At 50.0% G+C, this 16,943-nt stretch overlaps 1 protein-coding gene, 1 long non-coding RNA gene and 1 pseudogene across 3 annotated transcripts in view; 1 reads left to right on the top strand and 2 right to left on the bottom strand.

Moving 5' to 3' along the window:
- The window catches only part of HIRA (histone cell cycle regulator), a 101,036-nt gene that overhangs the window by 64,106 nt on the left and 19,987 nt on the right, over positions 1-16,943 (top strand). Inside the window, exons 16-24 of the mRNA NM_003325.4 lie at positions 5,697-5,901; positions 6,287-6,391; positions 8,144-8,292; positions 10,577-10,738; positions 11,340-11,398; positions 11,763-11,868; positions 13,510-13,632; positions 14,109-14,272; positions 16,182-16,270. Coding sequence (NP_003316.3) covers positions 5,697-5,901; positions 6,287-6,391; positions 8,144-8,292; positions 10,577-10,738; positions 11,340-11,398; positions 11,763-11,868; positions 13,510-13,632; positions 14,109-14,272; positions 16,182-16,270 — 1,162 coding nt within the window. The remainder of the gene's footprint in view (positions 1-5,696; positions 5,902-6,286; positions 6,392-8,143; positions 8,293-10,576; positions 10,739-11,339; positions 11,399-11,762; positions 11,869-13,509; positions 13,633-14,108; positions 14,273-16,181; positions 16,271-16,943) is intronic.
- Positions 1,584-1,863, bottom strand: RN7SL168P (RNA, 7SL, cytoplasmic 168, pseudogene; annotated as a pseudogene).
- The window catches only part of LOC105372859 (uncharacterized), a 59,606-nt gene continuing 58,738 nt past the window's right edge, over positions 16,076-16,943 (bottom strand). For both annotated transcript variants that reach the window (XR_938002.3, XR_938000.3), the window contains one exon: positions 16,076-16,584. This is a non-coding gene — a long non-coding RNA (uncharacterized LOC105372859). The remainder of the gene's footprint in view (positions 16,585-16,943) is intronic.

Below are 16,943 nucleotides of genomic sequence, written 5' to 3'. Positions count from 1 at the left end.
TGGGAAGCCAAGGCAGGCAGATCACCTGAGGTCAGGAATTCGAGACCACCCTGGCCAACATGGCAAAACTTCGTCTCTAGTAAAAATACAAAAATTAGCGGGGCGTGGTGGTGCGTGCCTGTAATCTCAGCTACTTGGGAGGCTGAGGCAGGAGAGTCACTTGAACCTGGGAGGCAGAGGTTGCAGTGATCCAAGATCACACCACTGCATTCCAGCCTGAGCAACAGAGTGAGACTCCGTCTCAAAAAAAAAAAAAAAATGGTACATTGGAAGCTGTGCCTACATTATATGCAAATACTAAATCATTTTATATACGGGACTTGAGCATCCTTGGATTTTGATATCTCCTGGGGGTCCTGGAATCAATCCCCATGCAGATACCAAAGGATGACTGTACTATGGAAAAATAGTTCAGATGGAATGTTATTTGAAAAAAGCCCGACATACAGTTGTATTAAAGTATGATTAGTATATAAATAAATACAATCAGAAATGAAAGGAGGCATTAGTACCAACCTTACAAAAAGGATTTCGATGGCATGATATTTCAATGTATGCCAATAAAGGCCAGGTGCAGTGGCTCACACCTGTAATCCCAACACTTTGGGAGGCCGAGGTGGGTGGTTCATCTGAGGTCAGGAGCTCAAGACCAGCTTGGCCAACATGGTGAAACCCCATCTCTATTAAAAATACAAAAAATTAGCCGGTTGTCACGGTGCATGCCTGTAGTCCTAGCTACTCGGGGAGGCTGAGGTATGAGAATCCCTTGAGCCCAGGAGGCGGAGGTTGCAGCGAGCTGAGATTGTGCCACTGTACTCCAGCCTGGGCAACAGAATGAGAATCTGTCTCAAAATAAAAATAAATAAATCCCTTATTATTTCAACAATATGCACAGCATCTTCACCAGGAGATTCCATCTTAAGAAACTACTTTCTTTGCTCTTCCCTAACTAGCACCTCCTCATTTGTTCAAGTTTTTTATGAGATTGCAGCAATTTAGTCCCATCTTCAGGCTTTACTTCTAGTTCTCTTACTGTTTCCACCACATGTGTAATGACTTTTTCCACTGAAGTCTTGAACCCCTCAAAGTCATTCATGAGGGTTGGAATCCGCTTCTTCCAAACTCTTGTTAAGGTTGATATTTTGACATCCCATGAATCACTGATGTTCTTAATGACATCTAGAATGGTGAATACTTTCCAGATTACTTTGCCCAGATCTGCCAGAGGAATCTGATATAGCTTACAAAATGTTTTTTTGTTTTTTTGAGACGGAGTCTCGCTCTGTCGCCCAGGCTGGAGTGCAGTGGTGCGGTCTCGGCTCACTGCAAGCTCCACCTCCCGGGTTCACGCCATTCTCCTGCCTCAGCCTCCCAAGTAGCTGGGACTACAGGCGCCCCCCACCACACCTGGCTAATTTTTTGTATTTTTAGTAGAGACGGGGTTTTACCGTGTTATCCAGGATGGTCTCGGTCTCCTGACCTTGTGATCTGCCTGCCTCAGCCTCCCAAAGTGCTGGGATTACAGGCGGGAACCACCACACCTGGCCCACAAAATTTTTTAATTATTATTTTTAATTTATTTAAGAGATAGTGTCTTGCTATGTTGCCCAGGCTGGAGTGCAGTGTTATTCACAGGCACAGTACCACTACTTATCAACACAAGAGTTTTTACCTGCTCTGTTTCCAAACTGGGCAGTTCACCTCTCCTTAGGCAACCTGGTGTGGTCTCTTGCTCTCAGAAGGTCACTATACTGATGCCAAACTTAGTGTGGACACCCAATTGGCATAGCGCACTATAACTCAGAACTTCTGGACTTAAACAGTCCTCCTGCCTCAGCCTCCAGGTAGCTGGGACCACAGGCAAAAATGTACCTCTTAAATAATGAAACTTGAAAGATGAAAATGCTCCTTGTTCATGGGCTGCAGAATGTGTGTTGTGTTAGTTGGTATGAAAACAACATTCATCTCTGTCAGAGCTCTTGGTTGACCAAGTGCATTGCCAGTCAGCAGCAATCTTTTGAAAGGAATCTTTTTTTCCAAGCAGTAGGTGTCAACATTGGGCTTCAAATATTCAGTAAACCATGCTCTAAACAGATGTGCTGTCATCTAGGCTTTCTTGTTGCATTTATAGATTTAGAATAATTCTTAAGGGCCCTAGGATTTTTGGAATAGTTAATGAGTATTGACTTCCACCTAAAATCACCAGCTGCATTCACTTCAATAAGATAACCAGCCTGTCTTCTGAAACTTTGAAGCCAGGCATTGACTTCCCTTCTCTAGCTAGGAAAGTCCTAGATGACATCTTCTTCTGATAGAAGGCTGTTTTACCTACACTGACAATCTGTTGTTTAGTGTTACCACCTTCATCCATGATCTTAGCTAGATGTTCTAATACCTTGCTGCAACTTCTACATTAGCACTTGCTGCTTCACCTTGCCGTTTTATGTTATAGAGGCAGCTTCTTTCCTTAAACTTCATGAGCCAACCTCTGCTAGCTTCAGACTTTCTTCTCCAGCTTCCTCACCTCTCTCAGCCTTCATAGAAATGAAAATAGTTAGAGCCTTGCTTTGGATTAGGCTGTGGATTAAGGGAGTGTTGTGGCTGGTTTGATCTTCTATCCAGAGCACTAAAACTTTCTCCATATTAGCAATAAGGCTGTTTTGCTTTCTTTTCAAACATGTGTTCACTGGAGTAGCACTTTTAACTTCCTTTAAGAGCTTTTCCATTGCATTCACACCTTGGCTAACTGGTGCAAAAGGTATAGCTTTTGGCCTGTCTCAGCTTTCAATGTGCCTTCCTCTTTAAGCTTAATCATTTTTAGCTTTTGGTTTAACACTTACTTAGAGGCCATTATAGGGTTATCGATTGGCCTAATTTCAATATTGTTTTGTCTCAGATAATAGGGAGGCCTGGGGAGAGGAAGGGAGACAGGAGAACAACCAGTTGGTGGAGCAGTCAGAACATAAACGCCATTTATTGATTAAGTTCAGCATCTTACATGGGTGTGGTTCACAGTGCCCCAAAACAGTTATAATACTAACATGAAAGATCACTAATGGCAGATCACCAAAACAGATACAATAAGAATGAAAATGTTTGAAATATTGTGAGAATTATCAAAATGTGACACAGAGACACGAAATGAGCACCTGCTGTTGGGGAAATGGCGCCAATAGACTTGCTTGATGCAGGGTTGCCACAAACCTTCAACTTGTAAAAAAAACATAGTCTCTGCGAAGCACAGTGAAGTAAAGCACAATAACACAAGGTATGCCTGTGTACTTATTCAGAATTGTTCTGTCTTCTTGAAGAATTGACTCCTTCATCTTTATCACTGTGTAATGTCCCTCTTTATCCTTGATAACTTTACTGTCTCTGATGCCTGCTTTGCTTACGTAACTACACCACCTTTTTTTGATTAGTGTTATCATGGCATGTCTTTCTCCAGTCCTCGCTTTTTTTTTTTAATAGACTTTATTTGTTAGAGCAGTTTAGGTTCACAGCTAAATTGAACAGGAAATACAAAGAGTTCCCACATGCCCGCCTCCCCAACATACCCATAGCATCCCCCACTTTCAGCATCCCCCACCAGAGTGGGGCACACCGTCACCCAAAGTTTACATTTGGGTCTACTCTTGATGTTGTACGTTTTACGGGTTTAACCAATGTATAATGACATATATTCATCATTATATATCTTACAGAATAGTTTTTTGGGTTTTTTCGAGACAGAGTCTCGCTCTATTGCCCAGGCTGGAGTGCGGTGGCACAGTCGCATCTCGGCTCACTGCAACCTCCGCCTCCCAGGTTCAAGCAATTCTCCTACCTCAGCCTCCCAGGTAGCTGGGATTACATGTGTATGCCACCACACGTGGCTAATTTTTGTATTTTTAGTAGAGATGGGGTCTCACCATGTTGGCCAGGCCAGTCTCAAACTCCTGACCTCAAGTGATCTGCCCACCTTGGCCTCCCAAAGTGTAGGAATTACAGGAAAGAGCCACCACACCCAGCCAGAATAGTTTCAATGCCTTAAAAATTCTGTGCTTCATATAGTTACCTTCCTTTCCCCAACCCCTGGAAACCACTGATCTTTTTATTGTCTCCATGGTTTTGCCTGTTCCAGGTTGTCATATAGTTAGAATCACCCCTTTTCTTGTATTTATTTATTTACTTATTTTTTGTTCTTAGAGATGGGGTCTCATTATTTTGCCCAGGCTGCTCTCAAGCCTCTGGGCTCGAGCAGTCCTCCTGCCTCAGCCTACCAAGTAGCTGGGACTACAGGCATGAGCCACTGTGTCCACCTACTATTAATCTGTCTTTGTCTTTTGTAGTTAAAATTAAATTTTTAAAAACATAAACCCATTTCTTTTTTTTGTTTTTTTTGTTTTTTTTTTTGAGACGGAATCTCACTTTGTCACCAGGCTGGAGTGCAGTGGCACGATCTTGACTCCCTGCAACCTCTGCCTCCTGGGTTCAAGCAATTGCCCTGCCTCAGCCTGCCGAGTAGCTGGGACTACAGGCACACGCCACCACACCCGGCTAATTTTTTGTATTTTAGTAGAGACAGGGTTTCACCGTGTTGGCCAGGACGGTCTCAATCTCCTGACCTCAGGTGATTCACCCACCTCAGCCTCCCAAAGTGCTGGGATTACAGGCGTGAGCCACCGTGCCCGGCCTTATTCTTTTTTTTTAATCTTCACTTCTTTTTATCTTCTTTTTCTGCCTTCTCTGGTTTTAGCTGAGTATTTTATATGATTCAGTTTTCTCAGCCAGGCATGGTGGCTCACGACCATAATCCCAACACTTTGGGAGGCTGAGGCGGGTAGGTCACCTGAGGTCAGGAGTTCAAGACTGGCCTGGCCAACATGATGAAACCCTGTCTCTACTAATAATACAAAAATTAACCAGGCGTGGTGGCACACACCTGTAATCCCAGCTACTTGGGAGACTGAGGCAGGAGAATCACTTGACCCCAGTAGGTGGATGTTGCAGTGAGCCAAGATCACACCATTGCATTCCAGGCTGGGCGAGAAGAGTGAAAATCCATCTCCAAAAAAAAAATGATAATAAAATAAAAATAAATTTTCTCTCCTCTCAGCATTATTAATTATGCTTTAAAAAATTTTTTTTAGTGATTGCTCTAGAGTTTACAATAAACATTTATAACCTAACTCTACTTTCAAATAATATTATACCACTTCATGGGTAGTAGAAAGAGTTCCCCACTCTTTCCTTCCATGCCCTATGACATTGGTACCACTTATTTCACTCATTCATAAACTATAGTAATTCAAGACATGGTGGCTGTTATTTGTTTGAACAGAAAGTTGTCTCTCAGATCAGTTGGGAATATGAAATACAAAAGATTCTATTTTATGTTCATTGTTTTTTTTCTCTAACATCACTCTTCCTTTCTTCATGCAGATGTGAGTTTCTGGCCTGCATCATTTATCTTCTCTCTGAAAGACTTTTAACATTTCTTGCAAGGCAGGTCTTCTGGCAACAGATTCCGGTGTCTCTTTGTTTATTTTTGTCTGACAAAGTCATTATTTCTCCTTTACTTTTGAGGCATAATTTCACTGGACACAGAATTCTAGGTTGGCAAGAGGTTTGTTTAAGCACTTTAAATATTTCACTTCACTCTTTCTTGCATGAATGGTTTCTGAAGGGAAGTGTGATGTAATGTTTTTGTGCAGGTTAAAAGAGCAGAACCTTGTGAAAGAGCTGAGGCCCCGAGACCTCCTGGAGAGCAGCAGTGACAGCGATGAGAAAGTCCCTTTGGCTAAGGCTTCCTCACTGTCCAAGCGAAAACTTGAGCTTGAGGTAGAGACAGTAGAGAAGAAGAAGAAAGGGCGGCCTCGGAAGGACTCTCGTCTCATGCCTGTGTCTCTGTCTGTCCAGGTGAGGCCAGTGGGCCCATCCTGCCTTCTTTAGCCCACCTTTCTGTACTTAGAGCTTGAAGGCCCTGTGTGCATGGTAAGCCTCAGCTGGGTGGGTCACCTTGGGAACCAGCTGGCTTAGACATGCAGCCCCTGGAATGTAGCATGGAGGCCACGCTCTCCCTCAGATGTGCCCTTGACTCACCCAGGGCCCTTGAGCAGGTTCCCTGGCATCAACTGGCTTGTCCATGAGGTTAGGATCCTTGTAGCATTCCCCTCTGCTTCCTCCCTCCCAGGGTGGAAATGCTCTGGTCGCAGGCTCAGCCTCACTTCTGGGTGACCTGCCTTTACCAAATGCTACCCCGTAGTGTTAGAGCAAGGCTCAGGAACGTTTCTGGCTCTTCCAGTCTCCAGCTGCCCTAACCGCAGAGAAGGAGGCCATGTGTCTGTCTGCACCAGCACTTGCACTGAAGCTGCCAATTCCAAGCCCCCAGAGAGCATTCACCCTCCAGGTAAGTTCTAGGACCCTGCCAGTTCTCCCTCAGGCACACCCAGACATTCTCTGTCCCCTACTGCATACAAATCCTATCTTGTCACTTCCTTGGAGATTGGTTTCCAGTGGCTCTCCATCACCTTCTGGGAGAAGTCATAGCAGATCGGGGTACCCACCAACTCTTAGCGAAATTGCCAGCCTCCACTCTCACTCACCCATAGCCTCTGTCTGGCTTTGCCCTTGGGATTCCAGCTGCTGGGGCTGCCATTACCACCACATGTTCTGGTGCTCTTCAGGACTCCTCTCAGGTGTCCTGGCTGGAAGCCACCTCCACCTCCACACACAGCCCTGGGCAGCCTCAGGCTTGGTGTCTGTGGGAATGTGTGGTCATAATCTATCTCCCAACCATCCTGCTAGCTTTGTCTTCTCAGTGTCTGGCACAGTCAATCATCAGAGTTGTTTGAGCTCTTGGAATGGAAGCTTGTAAGCATGTGGTTATCCAAAACACAATTCTGGAGTAAATAATCCTTTATACCCAGAGCCCTCCTGGTCACTTGGCCCAGCATAGTATCTAGGCCTCTCCTGCCATGGTGCCGTCACACACACTGCTGCCTCTCTGCATACCCTTGTACCTCAGCTCAGGTGCGTGTCCTCGAGCAGCCTTCTTGGACCCTGCTTGCGGGTCACTTCCCACTGGCTACACACTGCTCTGAGCCCAGGTTGGTCCTCACAGGGCACCAGAGAGCAGGCGTCAGCCCTTCCTACCATAGGTCCTTCTGGGCCACAGTGCAGAGGAATGAAGCAGGGAAGCCAAAGGGTAGGAACCCATAGGGTTTGTTCTTATTGCTGGTGTGAACGGAGGCAGGGGCCCTCCAGTGGTCAGCAGCGTTCAGACGTGCTCTTGCACTCAGAGGTGTTCTGACTTAGGTTCCCTCCTGGGTGCCCTGCTTCTCAGCACAGAACTCTCCCAAACTCCTCCAGCCCTTCCCCTAGGCATCTTGCCCTCCAAGCACTGCTTGGGACTGTCATTTCTGGGTCTGTGAAGGGGGCAGTCAGCCCTCGGCCCAGCTCACCCACTTGAGTGGCCACACAAGCACAGACTGTTTGGTGGTTCTGCCTATTTTACCACAGGGAAAATCTGTTGGTCAGCTCCCCACACACGCGTGTGGCTGAGCCCATTTGGTGCCAGACACTGAATTAGGTGCTTTTCATACATGCTGTGCCATAAACACCCCTGCCAGTTTAGTCTCAGTTGAGCAGACCAAGTCTCACCACCACAGGAACTGGAGAGCCCCTTTGGGGGTTTTCTAAACATTCCCTCCAAGCACTGACATGGTCTCTAATCTTGCCAAACACTGCCATCTTTGAAGATTCTTCAAGTAGGAGGCTAGAAACCCAAGTCTCACTCCCAGCTCGGTCCTTTGCAGTGTGCTTTTGGGCACGTTACTCCCTTGTGAGATGAAGTGGCAGGGTTGGGAGACTTTGGGGTCTTTAACCCTGGCACTGCTTCTCTTCTCTGGCTGTTCAACTACACAAATGACAGGGTAGAAACCAGCTCCCAGCATTCTCCCTGCCTTGGGGGCCACATGTCTGGCCCTCTGGGCCTCCCGCTCAGCCCCTTTGCCCTACCTGCCCTCCCTCTCCTCTCTTGGCCAGCCAGTCTGCCTCTGTATCCTGCTGCTGCCTTGGGGCCCCAGGCTACAGAGCCTTGGAGCATGTCACCTGGGCTGCGGCCCTTGTCTGAGCAGACCCGTGTGTTTACTTCATCCAGGTCAGCTCCGATCCTTCCATGTACATTGAGGTGGAGAATGAAGTGACAGTGGTGGGGGGCGTGAAGCTGAGCCGCCTGAAGTGCAACCGGGAAGGGAAGGAGTGGGAGACGGTACTCACCAGCCGGATCCTCACTGCTGCGGGCAGCTGGTAAGGGTGGGCAGGTCCTTAGCCGGCCCAGGTGACACAGGCACACATGCCATCATTCTGGGCCTGGGCCTGTCTAGGGGAGGTGCATGACCCTGGGAGCACCAGCTCCCACAGAGACTCACACCAGGCTTCACTCCAGGCCAAGCATATGTGCTTGTCATCTCAGTCCCTGCAGCACCCAGCAAGGTCAGCATCAGTATCCCCGTGTTACAGATGGGGAAACTGAGCCCTTGAGGGTTACCCAGGCCAAGCTTTGAACCTGATGGCCTGATTCCCTTGTCCAGCCAGATCCCCAAAGTCTCGAATTCCACACTGAGGTGTGCCTGGCTCACCTTGACCTGGGCTGGTTCCTTTTTTGGATCCCAGATTTCCATCCAAGTTGGTCAGGATGGATTTCTGACTGTCCCTGAAGTCCCCATCCCAGCCCATGCCAGATTCTGCACTGTGAGGGGGACCTTGATTCAGTGATTAGTCACCCAGTATCTTCCCCTGGGTTCCTAGAACTGTACGTGAGCCCTGTCCCTACCTGTGTTCAATGTGGAAGGGGAACCAATGTTTCTCCTCAGGTTCCTGTCTGATGTAGCATCCCAGTCAGGACCAGATACAGTCATCATAATTACACCCTTAATCATCTGCCATGAGGTCCCATGTAAATGCTTTTACTTGTGTCAAAGCACATGGCCTTAGGTCTTAGACCACAATTCTCGTGGGCCCTGAGTGAGTTTTGTGTTTTTAGGCCTAGGGGACCCCACTGTTTGTTCTGTTCCTCCCTCAAATTCCCCCTCCAGATGAGCCATTTAAATTCCCAGTCCCAGGCACCTGTGTATCAGATGCTTCCACAGGCTCCCACTCTCTGTCCCTCCCCTCAAGGCAGGTGGCTTGCCCAGCTGAGGGCTAAGGGGTGTCGGCACAGCCTCTCCCACAGTGACATGGCAGCTGTGGGGCAAGCCTGCTGGACCACGTGGGACCTCTCCTCCTGCTTAGTCCTGCCCAGTTCAGGCCCAGCCTGCAGACCTGTTCCCCAGTGTTACAGCCCAAAAATGATGGCTTTCTTTGCAGTGGGCTGGCTTGAGCCAGGCTCTGACCACCAGAGATGGGCAGATAGAATTCAGTCACAGTACCAGCCTGGCCAACATATTGAAACCCCATCTCTACCAAAAATACAAAAATTAGCCAGGCGTGGTAGCATGTGCCTGTAATCCCAGCTACTCGGGAGGCTAAGGTAGGAGAATCGCTTGAACTGGGGAGGCGGAGGTTGCAGTGAGCCGAGATCACGCCACTACACTCCAGCCTGGGCGACAGACCGAGACTCTGTCTCAGAAAAAATAAGAATTCAGTCACAGCACTGCAGAGAGCTCCTTGTTGCCCGTGCTGCTTAGAGTGTTCTCTGATTCATACTCTCCAAGTAAACATTTGTAAACAAAAGCATCTCACTTGCCTCTCCCTTTTTGGAGCCAGTAGCAATAGTGGCTCATTAGGAAGGCAGTTGGCAGAGCTCCTTCCTTAACTGACCTCCTTGAGCCTGCTGGAGTGACTGGCTCACCAGGATAGAAGTGACACAAAGCAGGGCTCTGGGTGGCCTACTGTGGCCAGGATCTCACTGTACTGGCTGTACATCTGCTACCCCTGCCTGCGTCTGAGCTCCAGCCTCACCCTGGGCCTGTGGCTGTGCCTTAGGGGGCTCTGTCTGGGAAGGCAGCAGCCTGCTCGTGCAGGGCCCACCCAGGGGCCTGGTGGTCACTCGGGAGAAGCTGGACAGTGTCCAGACTGTTCTGTAACGCACTCCTTGTTTGGGAGCGACACACATCTCCCACGCCAGCCAGACAGCCCCCTGGACACAGAGGTGCATGCTGTCATCCCCATACTTCTCTTAGCCTGCCTTGTTAGAGACCTTCTCAGGACTGGTCTGACTAGTTGCAGCCAGGAGACTGTCCTGTGGGTACTATGTGGCCTTATCTGATGAGCAAGGCATGTTTCCTGGGTGATCATCAGAGGCATTGGCTCTCCAAAGCCCCCACACCCCTTGGTCAGCATCAGCATGAGCTCAGGAAAGCGCAGGCAGCCTGTGGAAATAGGACAGAAGCCTCTTTCATCCAAGATCTCAGGGAGGCTCCAACAGCCCCACCAGCCCTACCCTGACCCAATCCACCTTCCCTTCTGGCTGTACCTGCTCAGGGGAGGCCCTTGTTGGGCCCAGGCAGAGGGAAGGCCCACACTTCCAGGGCTACTGTCTTGGCTGCAGCACTCAGCCCCCATGACACCTGCCCCCACTCTGCCTTCTCAGTGACGTGGTGTGTGTCGCCTGTGAAAAAAGGATGCTGTCAGTGTTCTCCACCTGTGGTCGCCGTCTCCTCTCTCCCATCCTCCTGCCATCCCCGATCTCTACTTTGCATTGCACAGGCTCCTACGTCATGGCGCTCACCGCTGCAGCCACACTCTCTGTCTGGTGAGAGGCAGGCACAGGGTGGGGTGGGCTTCAGCCAGGGCAGGACAGGGCTGTGTAGGCCCCACCTCACTGCAGGGGCAGGGAAGGCAGTGGACAAGGCTGGCCATCAGGCCCCAGAAGAGGCCCTGAGCAGTTAGTGATATTGCTTGTGTTGGGTGCCCTGGGTAGGCTGAGGGCTGAGGGGTAGTGTGCAAGGGGGATGGAGGCAGCTTGCCTGCTCGATTATTTCCTTACTGGAGCAGCCCATGCGACCAGTTGCACTGCCAGGGTCCTATGCAAGATTCATCAGAAATGGAGTCTTAGCTGGCAGAATGTGGCCATGTTCCTGATGTGGCTGCTGTGGCCTGGCTTCCCCCAAAGTGGTGTGGGCGCTGAGGGTTCCCCATGGCTCTGTTGCCTGGGCTTTGTGCTGCAGCCTTAATGCAGAGGGAGTGTAGTGGCACATGGAGAGCAGAAGCCACTCGTAGCCCAGAGCCCCTCTCACTAGGAGAGGCCAGGGTTAGGGTCGCATGCAGTAGGGCCAGGGTGTCTGAGCAGCCAAGGCACACTCTGATGTGTTTACCTGGGTTGGTGAGTAAACTGTTCCCTGTCTCCCTCCTAGGGATGTTCACAGACAGGTGGTTGTGGTGAAAGAAGAGTCTCTACACTCCATCCTGGCAGGTAATGCAGGCAACAGGCTGTCCCTACTCTTTTGGGGGCCCAAGTTCATGTCTGATGCTGCAGAAGGGCCCCGCTCAGAGAGCCAGGCTCTGGCCTCAGCCCAGGGCTCTCAGTGAGGCAGGAGGTGTGGTTACGCTGCAGGAGACACACACTTTTTGGGGGCATGTTTGAATGGGTCCCCAAGAGGTGACAAAAGCCTGGTGTGTGGCAAGGAGAATGGCTTGCCCTCCCTATTTGCCAAGGCAGTGTTGATGCATTTGCTGCTGGGACTGTGGGAGCCTAGAGTACAGATTTCTCCTTTGATATGTTTGAAAACACTTGCTGATCAGAGCACACCCAGAACTCATTCCCATGCTGTCCTCAGGAAGTGATATGACGGTATCACAGATCTTGCTGACGCAGCATGGAATCCCAGTAATGAACCTGTCCGATGGGAAGGCGTACTGCTTTAATCCGTCACTTTCCACATGGTAAGCAAGCTGACCCCCAGTCCTATTCCCTGGAAGAGTGTCTGTCTGCTCTAGACAGCAGAGCAAAGGGTCGTGGCCTACAGGGCTGCCTAGCCCTGCTTTTCCTGAGAGTCAGGCCCTGGAGTGCAGGCTGCATTGACTATCTGTGCATGCTCCCCTGTCCCAGCAGGACACTGCAGCCTATGGCCTCTGCCCTCAGAGCCTGTGTGCAGGAGCACTGTCCTCCTGCATTATTTTCAGGAGGCACTTTTTGAAAAAGCCCCAAAATTTTTATGGTTTTTGCTGTGGCCCCCTTAGCCACCATGAGCATAGGTTAGTGGGCTTTACAGGAGCCTTAACAGGACTAGTCAATTTCTGTGAGCTTAGTAAGCACTTCAGACTTCCTCAGTGAATTAGTAAGGATGCTTATCCACTTACCCAGGCATGATGGTCTGTACTTTTCCTCTGTCCACTCAGGAATTTGGAGCCCTTTTTTGTACTTGCAAAATAATTTATACATCAGAGCTCTTAACCCAGACACGTGAATTATGTACGTTGTGTTCCAGCCACTCCAAGTTCTTTTCTTCTGTCTATACCTTTGGTCCTTAAGAACCAAAGCTTGCTACCTCCTAGCCCCTTTTCTGTTAAGAACTGCCATGCAGAAGTCTACATTCACACTGAGACTTCTTTCTTGAATTTGGAAAAAAAAAATCTGCTGGGTGCGATGGCTCACACCTGTAATCCCAGCGCTGTGGGAGGCTGAGAGGATTGCTTGATCCCATGAGTTTGAGACCAGCTTGGGCAACATAGTGAGACCCTGTCTCTACCAAAAAAAAAAAATTTTAAATAAGCCAGGTGCAGTGGCACACATCTGTAGTCCCAGCTCCTTGGGAAGCTGAAGCAGGAGATCCCTTGAGCCCAGGAGGTCGAGGCTGCAGTGAGCTGTAATCACACTACTGCACTTCAGCCTGGGCAGCAGAGTAAGACCCTGTCTCAAAGGAAAAAAAAAATCTCCACTGCCTGCTCCCCCAAATTGCAAAATGTTGTCTATTATATATGATTGCTGTAATAATGGAAATAAGCTGATTATTTAAGAAGAGAAATATTGACTCTCTGTAGGCATCTTTGTATTTTGGACACATTTACAAAGACATCTAGCTGTTCTAAAAGTGTGTGAAGAGTCTTCTTCACAAGGATGAGAAGGGTCCAGAGAAGGTGGAAGGACTGCCAGTCTGGGATAGTTGTAGAAATACAGGCAGGTAGAGGCCTGGCATTGCTCGCTAGCTACAGGGCCCAGGCCATGTGGCCCTGTGGGCAGACCATGGCAGTGTTTGAGCTGAGCATCAGAGCACACTGCACACAGAGGCCTGCAGTCATCAGGAACCAACATATGGAGCTGAAGTGTTCCCAGCAAGGGCCCTATCCACAGCCTTCACTTCACTCATTTTTCCTTTGGAACAGTGATCTATCAGACCCATTACCATGAAACCTGTCAGTGATAGGCGCCTGTGCGGAAGTGCAGGGGCGCTCAGCCTCTACTGGCTTTCTGTGTCGGCAGGGGCTGCTTCTCTGTGGCCTCTTTGCCAGCCTTCTCTGGTTGGCAAAGAGGCCAACCAGATCTCTTGGTTTTCCTGAGCTCTGCTCCTGCCTTTGCCTCCCCAGGAACCTGGTTTCTGACAAGCAGGACTCACTGGCTCAGTGTGCAGACTTTAGGAGCAGCCTGCCATCCCAGGACGCCATGCTGTGCTCAGGACCGTTAGCCATAATCCAGGGCCGCACCTCCAAGTACGTGACCTGAATGCCATGGCCACTGTCCTTAGTCCTGCCCTGGGGAAGTGCCTGGGTCAGTGCACGCACAGTCCCTGCCCAGGCCTGGTCTCCACCTGCCCTTCCCCTGTGCCCCAGGTGCTGGTCAGCACAGGCAGGCTGGGCAGGACGGACTAGGGGTGCTGAGGGTAGTGGTCCTGCATCAGGTAATATCTTGGGGTTGGGGGCAGCAATCACTGGCCCTGTCACTTCAGGGGCCCAGATGGCAGGTGCTGGGTGAGATACCCCAAGGGTGCCAGGAGGCACATGGCTGGGGCGTGGGGATGGGCAGACAACAGATCTGGCATCTGCCAACAGACTGGCTAGTGGACGGGAGGCCTTGGCAGCCCTGGTGCCTGCCTCCTGCCAGCTCCTTGCCTGTTGCACACGGGGGCAGTTCCTGACTCTGTGTAGTGCCTGCTGCCCCATCATGGAAACTCTCCTGGTCTCTGCAGCTCGGGAAGGCAGGCTGCCCGGCTCTTCTCCGTGCCTCATGTGGTGCAGCAAGAGACCACCCTGGCCTACCTAGAGAACCAGGTGGCAGCAGCACTCACCCTGCAGTCCAGCCACGAGTACCGCCATTGGCTCCTCGTCTACGCACGGTACCTCGTAAACGAAGGTGAGGCTCCTGGCAGCCCTGAGCAGCCTTCTCCTTCTGCCCCTCCATCCTCCCAGGCCTCACTTAGTCCCTGTGAAATCAGGGAAAAGATGTGATGGCCCAGCAGCCTCTACCTCCCAGCCTGAGCTGCAGTCAAGGCAGCTCAGCAGGCACCCAGCCCCTTATAGGCTCTGAGGCTCTGAATAGAGTGACCCTGAGGGTGTTCCCGCAGAGAAGCAGCAGGACAGGCAGCAGGACGGAGGAATAGATGCCTGGGTGGAAAGACATGGTCTGAAGGAGCAGATTCTATGTTCTGGCTCCTGCCCTGCACCACAACTTGGCAGTGCTGCTAATCAGTGAGGGCATCTTGTAGCAGTGGTTCTCTTCCTCCTCCCAGCCCTTCCTGCCCTGGACAGGCTTGCCTGATGTCCTGCACTTACTGAGGCCCTCCATTTCTGGCACTTCCCGCCAGAGCTCTCACTCTGCTGCCTCCCTTGCAGAAAGCCAGGTGTGCTGGAAGAGGTGGCTGCACTGTCCTCACAGTGACTCCAATAGCCTTACCAACTTTTCCTCCCACTTGAGTGCAGCCTTCAGGGTGCGGCATGGGGCAGGCCCTCCCAGAGCTCTCTCTGTGCAGCTTCCTGGGCTTTTTGCTTTATTTTTGTCATCACCCTCCCCATTTTGATTATAATTTAGAAAAAAATTTAAGTACAGAAAAGACAGAGAAAATCATAATCAGACCTTCACGGATGTAATTCCCAGAACTAACATGTCACATGTGCCTCTGGCTGTGTAAATACGAGTGTATGTGTGTGTGTGTGTACATACACTTGTAAACGACAGCAAATATTACTGATCAACTTGAAGCCTCCCCTCCCTCCCTGCAGACCACGATGATGAATTTGATGTTTACTCTTCCCACCAGGTCTATGTGGTTGCCATTATGTGTGGTCCCCAGCTTTTCTGAATACTCAGCCTTCCCAGGCTCTCATACCTCTCCTGTGGTGCTCTAGTCACGTCTTCCCTGGGAGCCCCTCCTCTTACTCCACTCTGGTTTGCTTCATCCTGGGTGTTGACTGGGACTTGCTCTGATGCCCTGCATCAAGTCCCCACCTCCTCTCCGCCCCGCCACCCATCTTGGGATGACTTCTGCTGCTTGCTTCTCTTTCTCCATCTTCCACCTGCCTGTTCTAGTGTCCATACACCAGTTACCCACCCTCCATTCTGTCCCTTGTTTCCTTGGCTGTAAAAGGAGGAATCTAGTATAAAAGTGGACCCCATTCACTTCCAAAATTCCTCAGATTCCAGTTTCATCTCTCTTACTCCACCCTTTTCTTTGGACAGTTTAATCCATTCCCTATTGCTTTAGCTGCCCCAAGTGCTGACAAACCCCGACACTCTACCTCCAGCCTTTCTAGCAGCCCTACTGGGTGGTGCCCATAACCCTTGAGTTAATGGACCTATGCCCCCTCCACTCAGTTGCCCCTCTTCAGTCATGCCTTTGCCATCTCTTACCTCCTGCGGGCTGGCCGTCCCACCCTCCTGACCTCCCCTCAACACCAGCTGCCAGCGCATCTTCTCAAAGACAGATCTCACCAGCCCACAATTTCCCATATCTTCCCATCACCTTAAGGAGTTTATCACAGAACTGGCCATATCTCGTTTTTCCTCTGGGCCCAACACACAGAGGAGGCACTACAGATGTCAGGGGAGTGAGCAAGTGAGTGAAAATCTGTGATTATGGGTCTCAGTGCCCCCCGCTGAGAGACATGCAGGGGCGTCTTGCCCATAGTAGGCAATAAAATACGCATGTGTTTATTCTGATTTGATAGACACAACAACATATTCTTGATTTTATTTCTTTTTGTAATGTGTTCCTATTTCTGTTTTGTTTTTTGTTGTTGTTGTTTGTTTGTTTTTCTGTAATTAGGGTTTGAATACCGACTTCGAGAAATATGCAAGGACTTACTGGGTCCGGTTCACTACTCCACTGGAAGCCAGTGGGAGTCAACAGTAGTGGTAGGTGCTTCTTTCATTGTTGCTGCAAGAATTCTTTCTTGAAACATGAAGGTGGAGATTTTTTAAATAAGCCAAAGTGCTTTGAAATTGTGTCCCGTTAGACTTCTCCAGCACCCAGCCTCAGGTCCCAGCATCAGTGAGAGGGTGACATGCCGACGGCCCTCCACAACCTGGCAGGAGCTGGGCCCTGGACATCAGGAGCCACGGAGTGCTCCGCCACGTGCCTGTGCTGAGGGAGGCTGCCTGCAGGGGCTCTGGGCTTGGTTGTGAAGACAAAAGACGGAAGGTACTTCCCTGCCTTCGTGGAGCTCGGTCTGGTAGGGATGCACACATAAACAGGGAGGCAGTTAGGTCAACAAAATATTTTCAGACTAGATTCAGACTAAGAAGGAAGTAAGCAGGGTCTTCAGATGAGAGTGCCTGGGAAGGAGTGACCAGGAAGGCCTTGTGAGAGGACACTGCGGATGAAACCCAAGGAGAAGAGTGAGACAGCCATACAGAGACCTGGAGAAAGTGTTTCCTAGTAGAAGTGAGAGTAAAAGCAAGGAGTGCTTGATCTGTTTGGAGCCACTGTGGCTGGCACATAGAAGGCAAAAGGAGAGGGTGGTGTGAAATGAGGCAGGAGGTGGACCACAGAGACCTTTACAGGAGCTAGCGTTTTCTTCTTGGCAGA

This window comes from Homo sapiens, chromosome 22 (assembly GCF_000001405.40).
Source record: "Homo sapiens chromosome 22, GRCh38.p14 Primary Assembly".
In the NCBI taxonomy this organism is placed as follows: domain Eukaryota; kingdom Metazoa; phylum Chordata; class Mammalia; order Primates; family Hominidae; genus Homo; species Homo sapiens.
The sequence above is the reverse complement of the archived record's forward strand: the minus strand, read 5'-3'. Positions and strand labels throughout refer to the sequence as shown.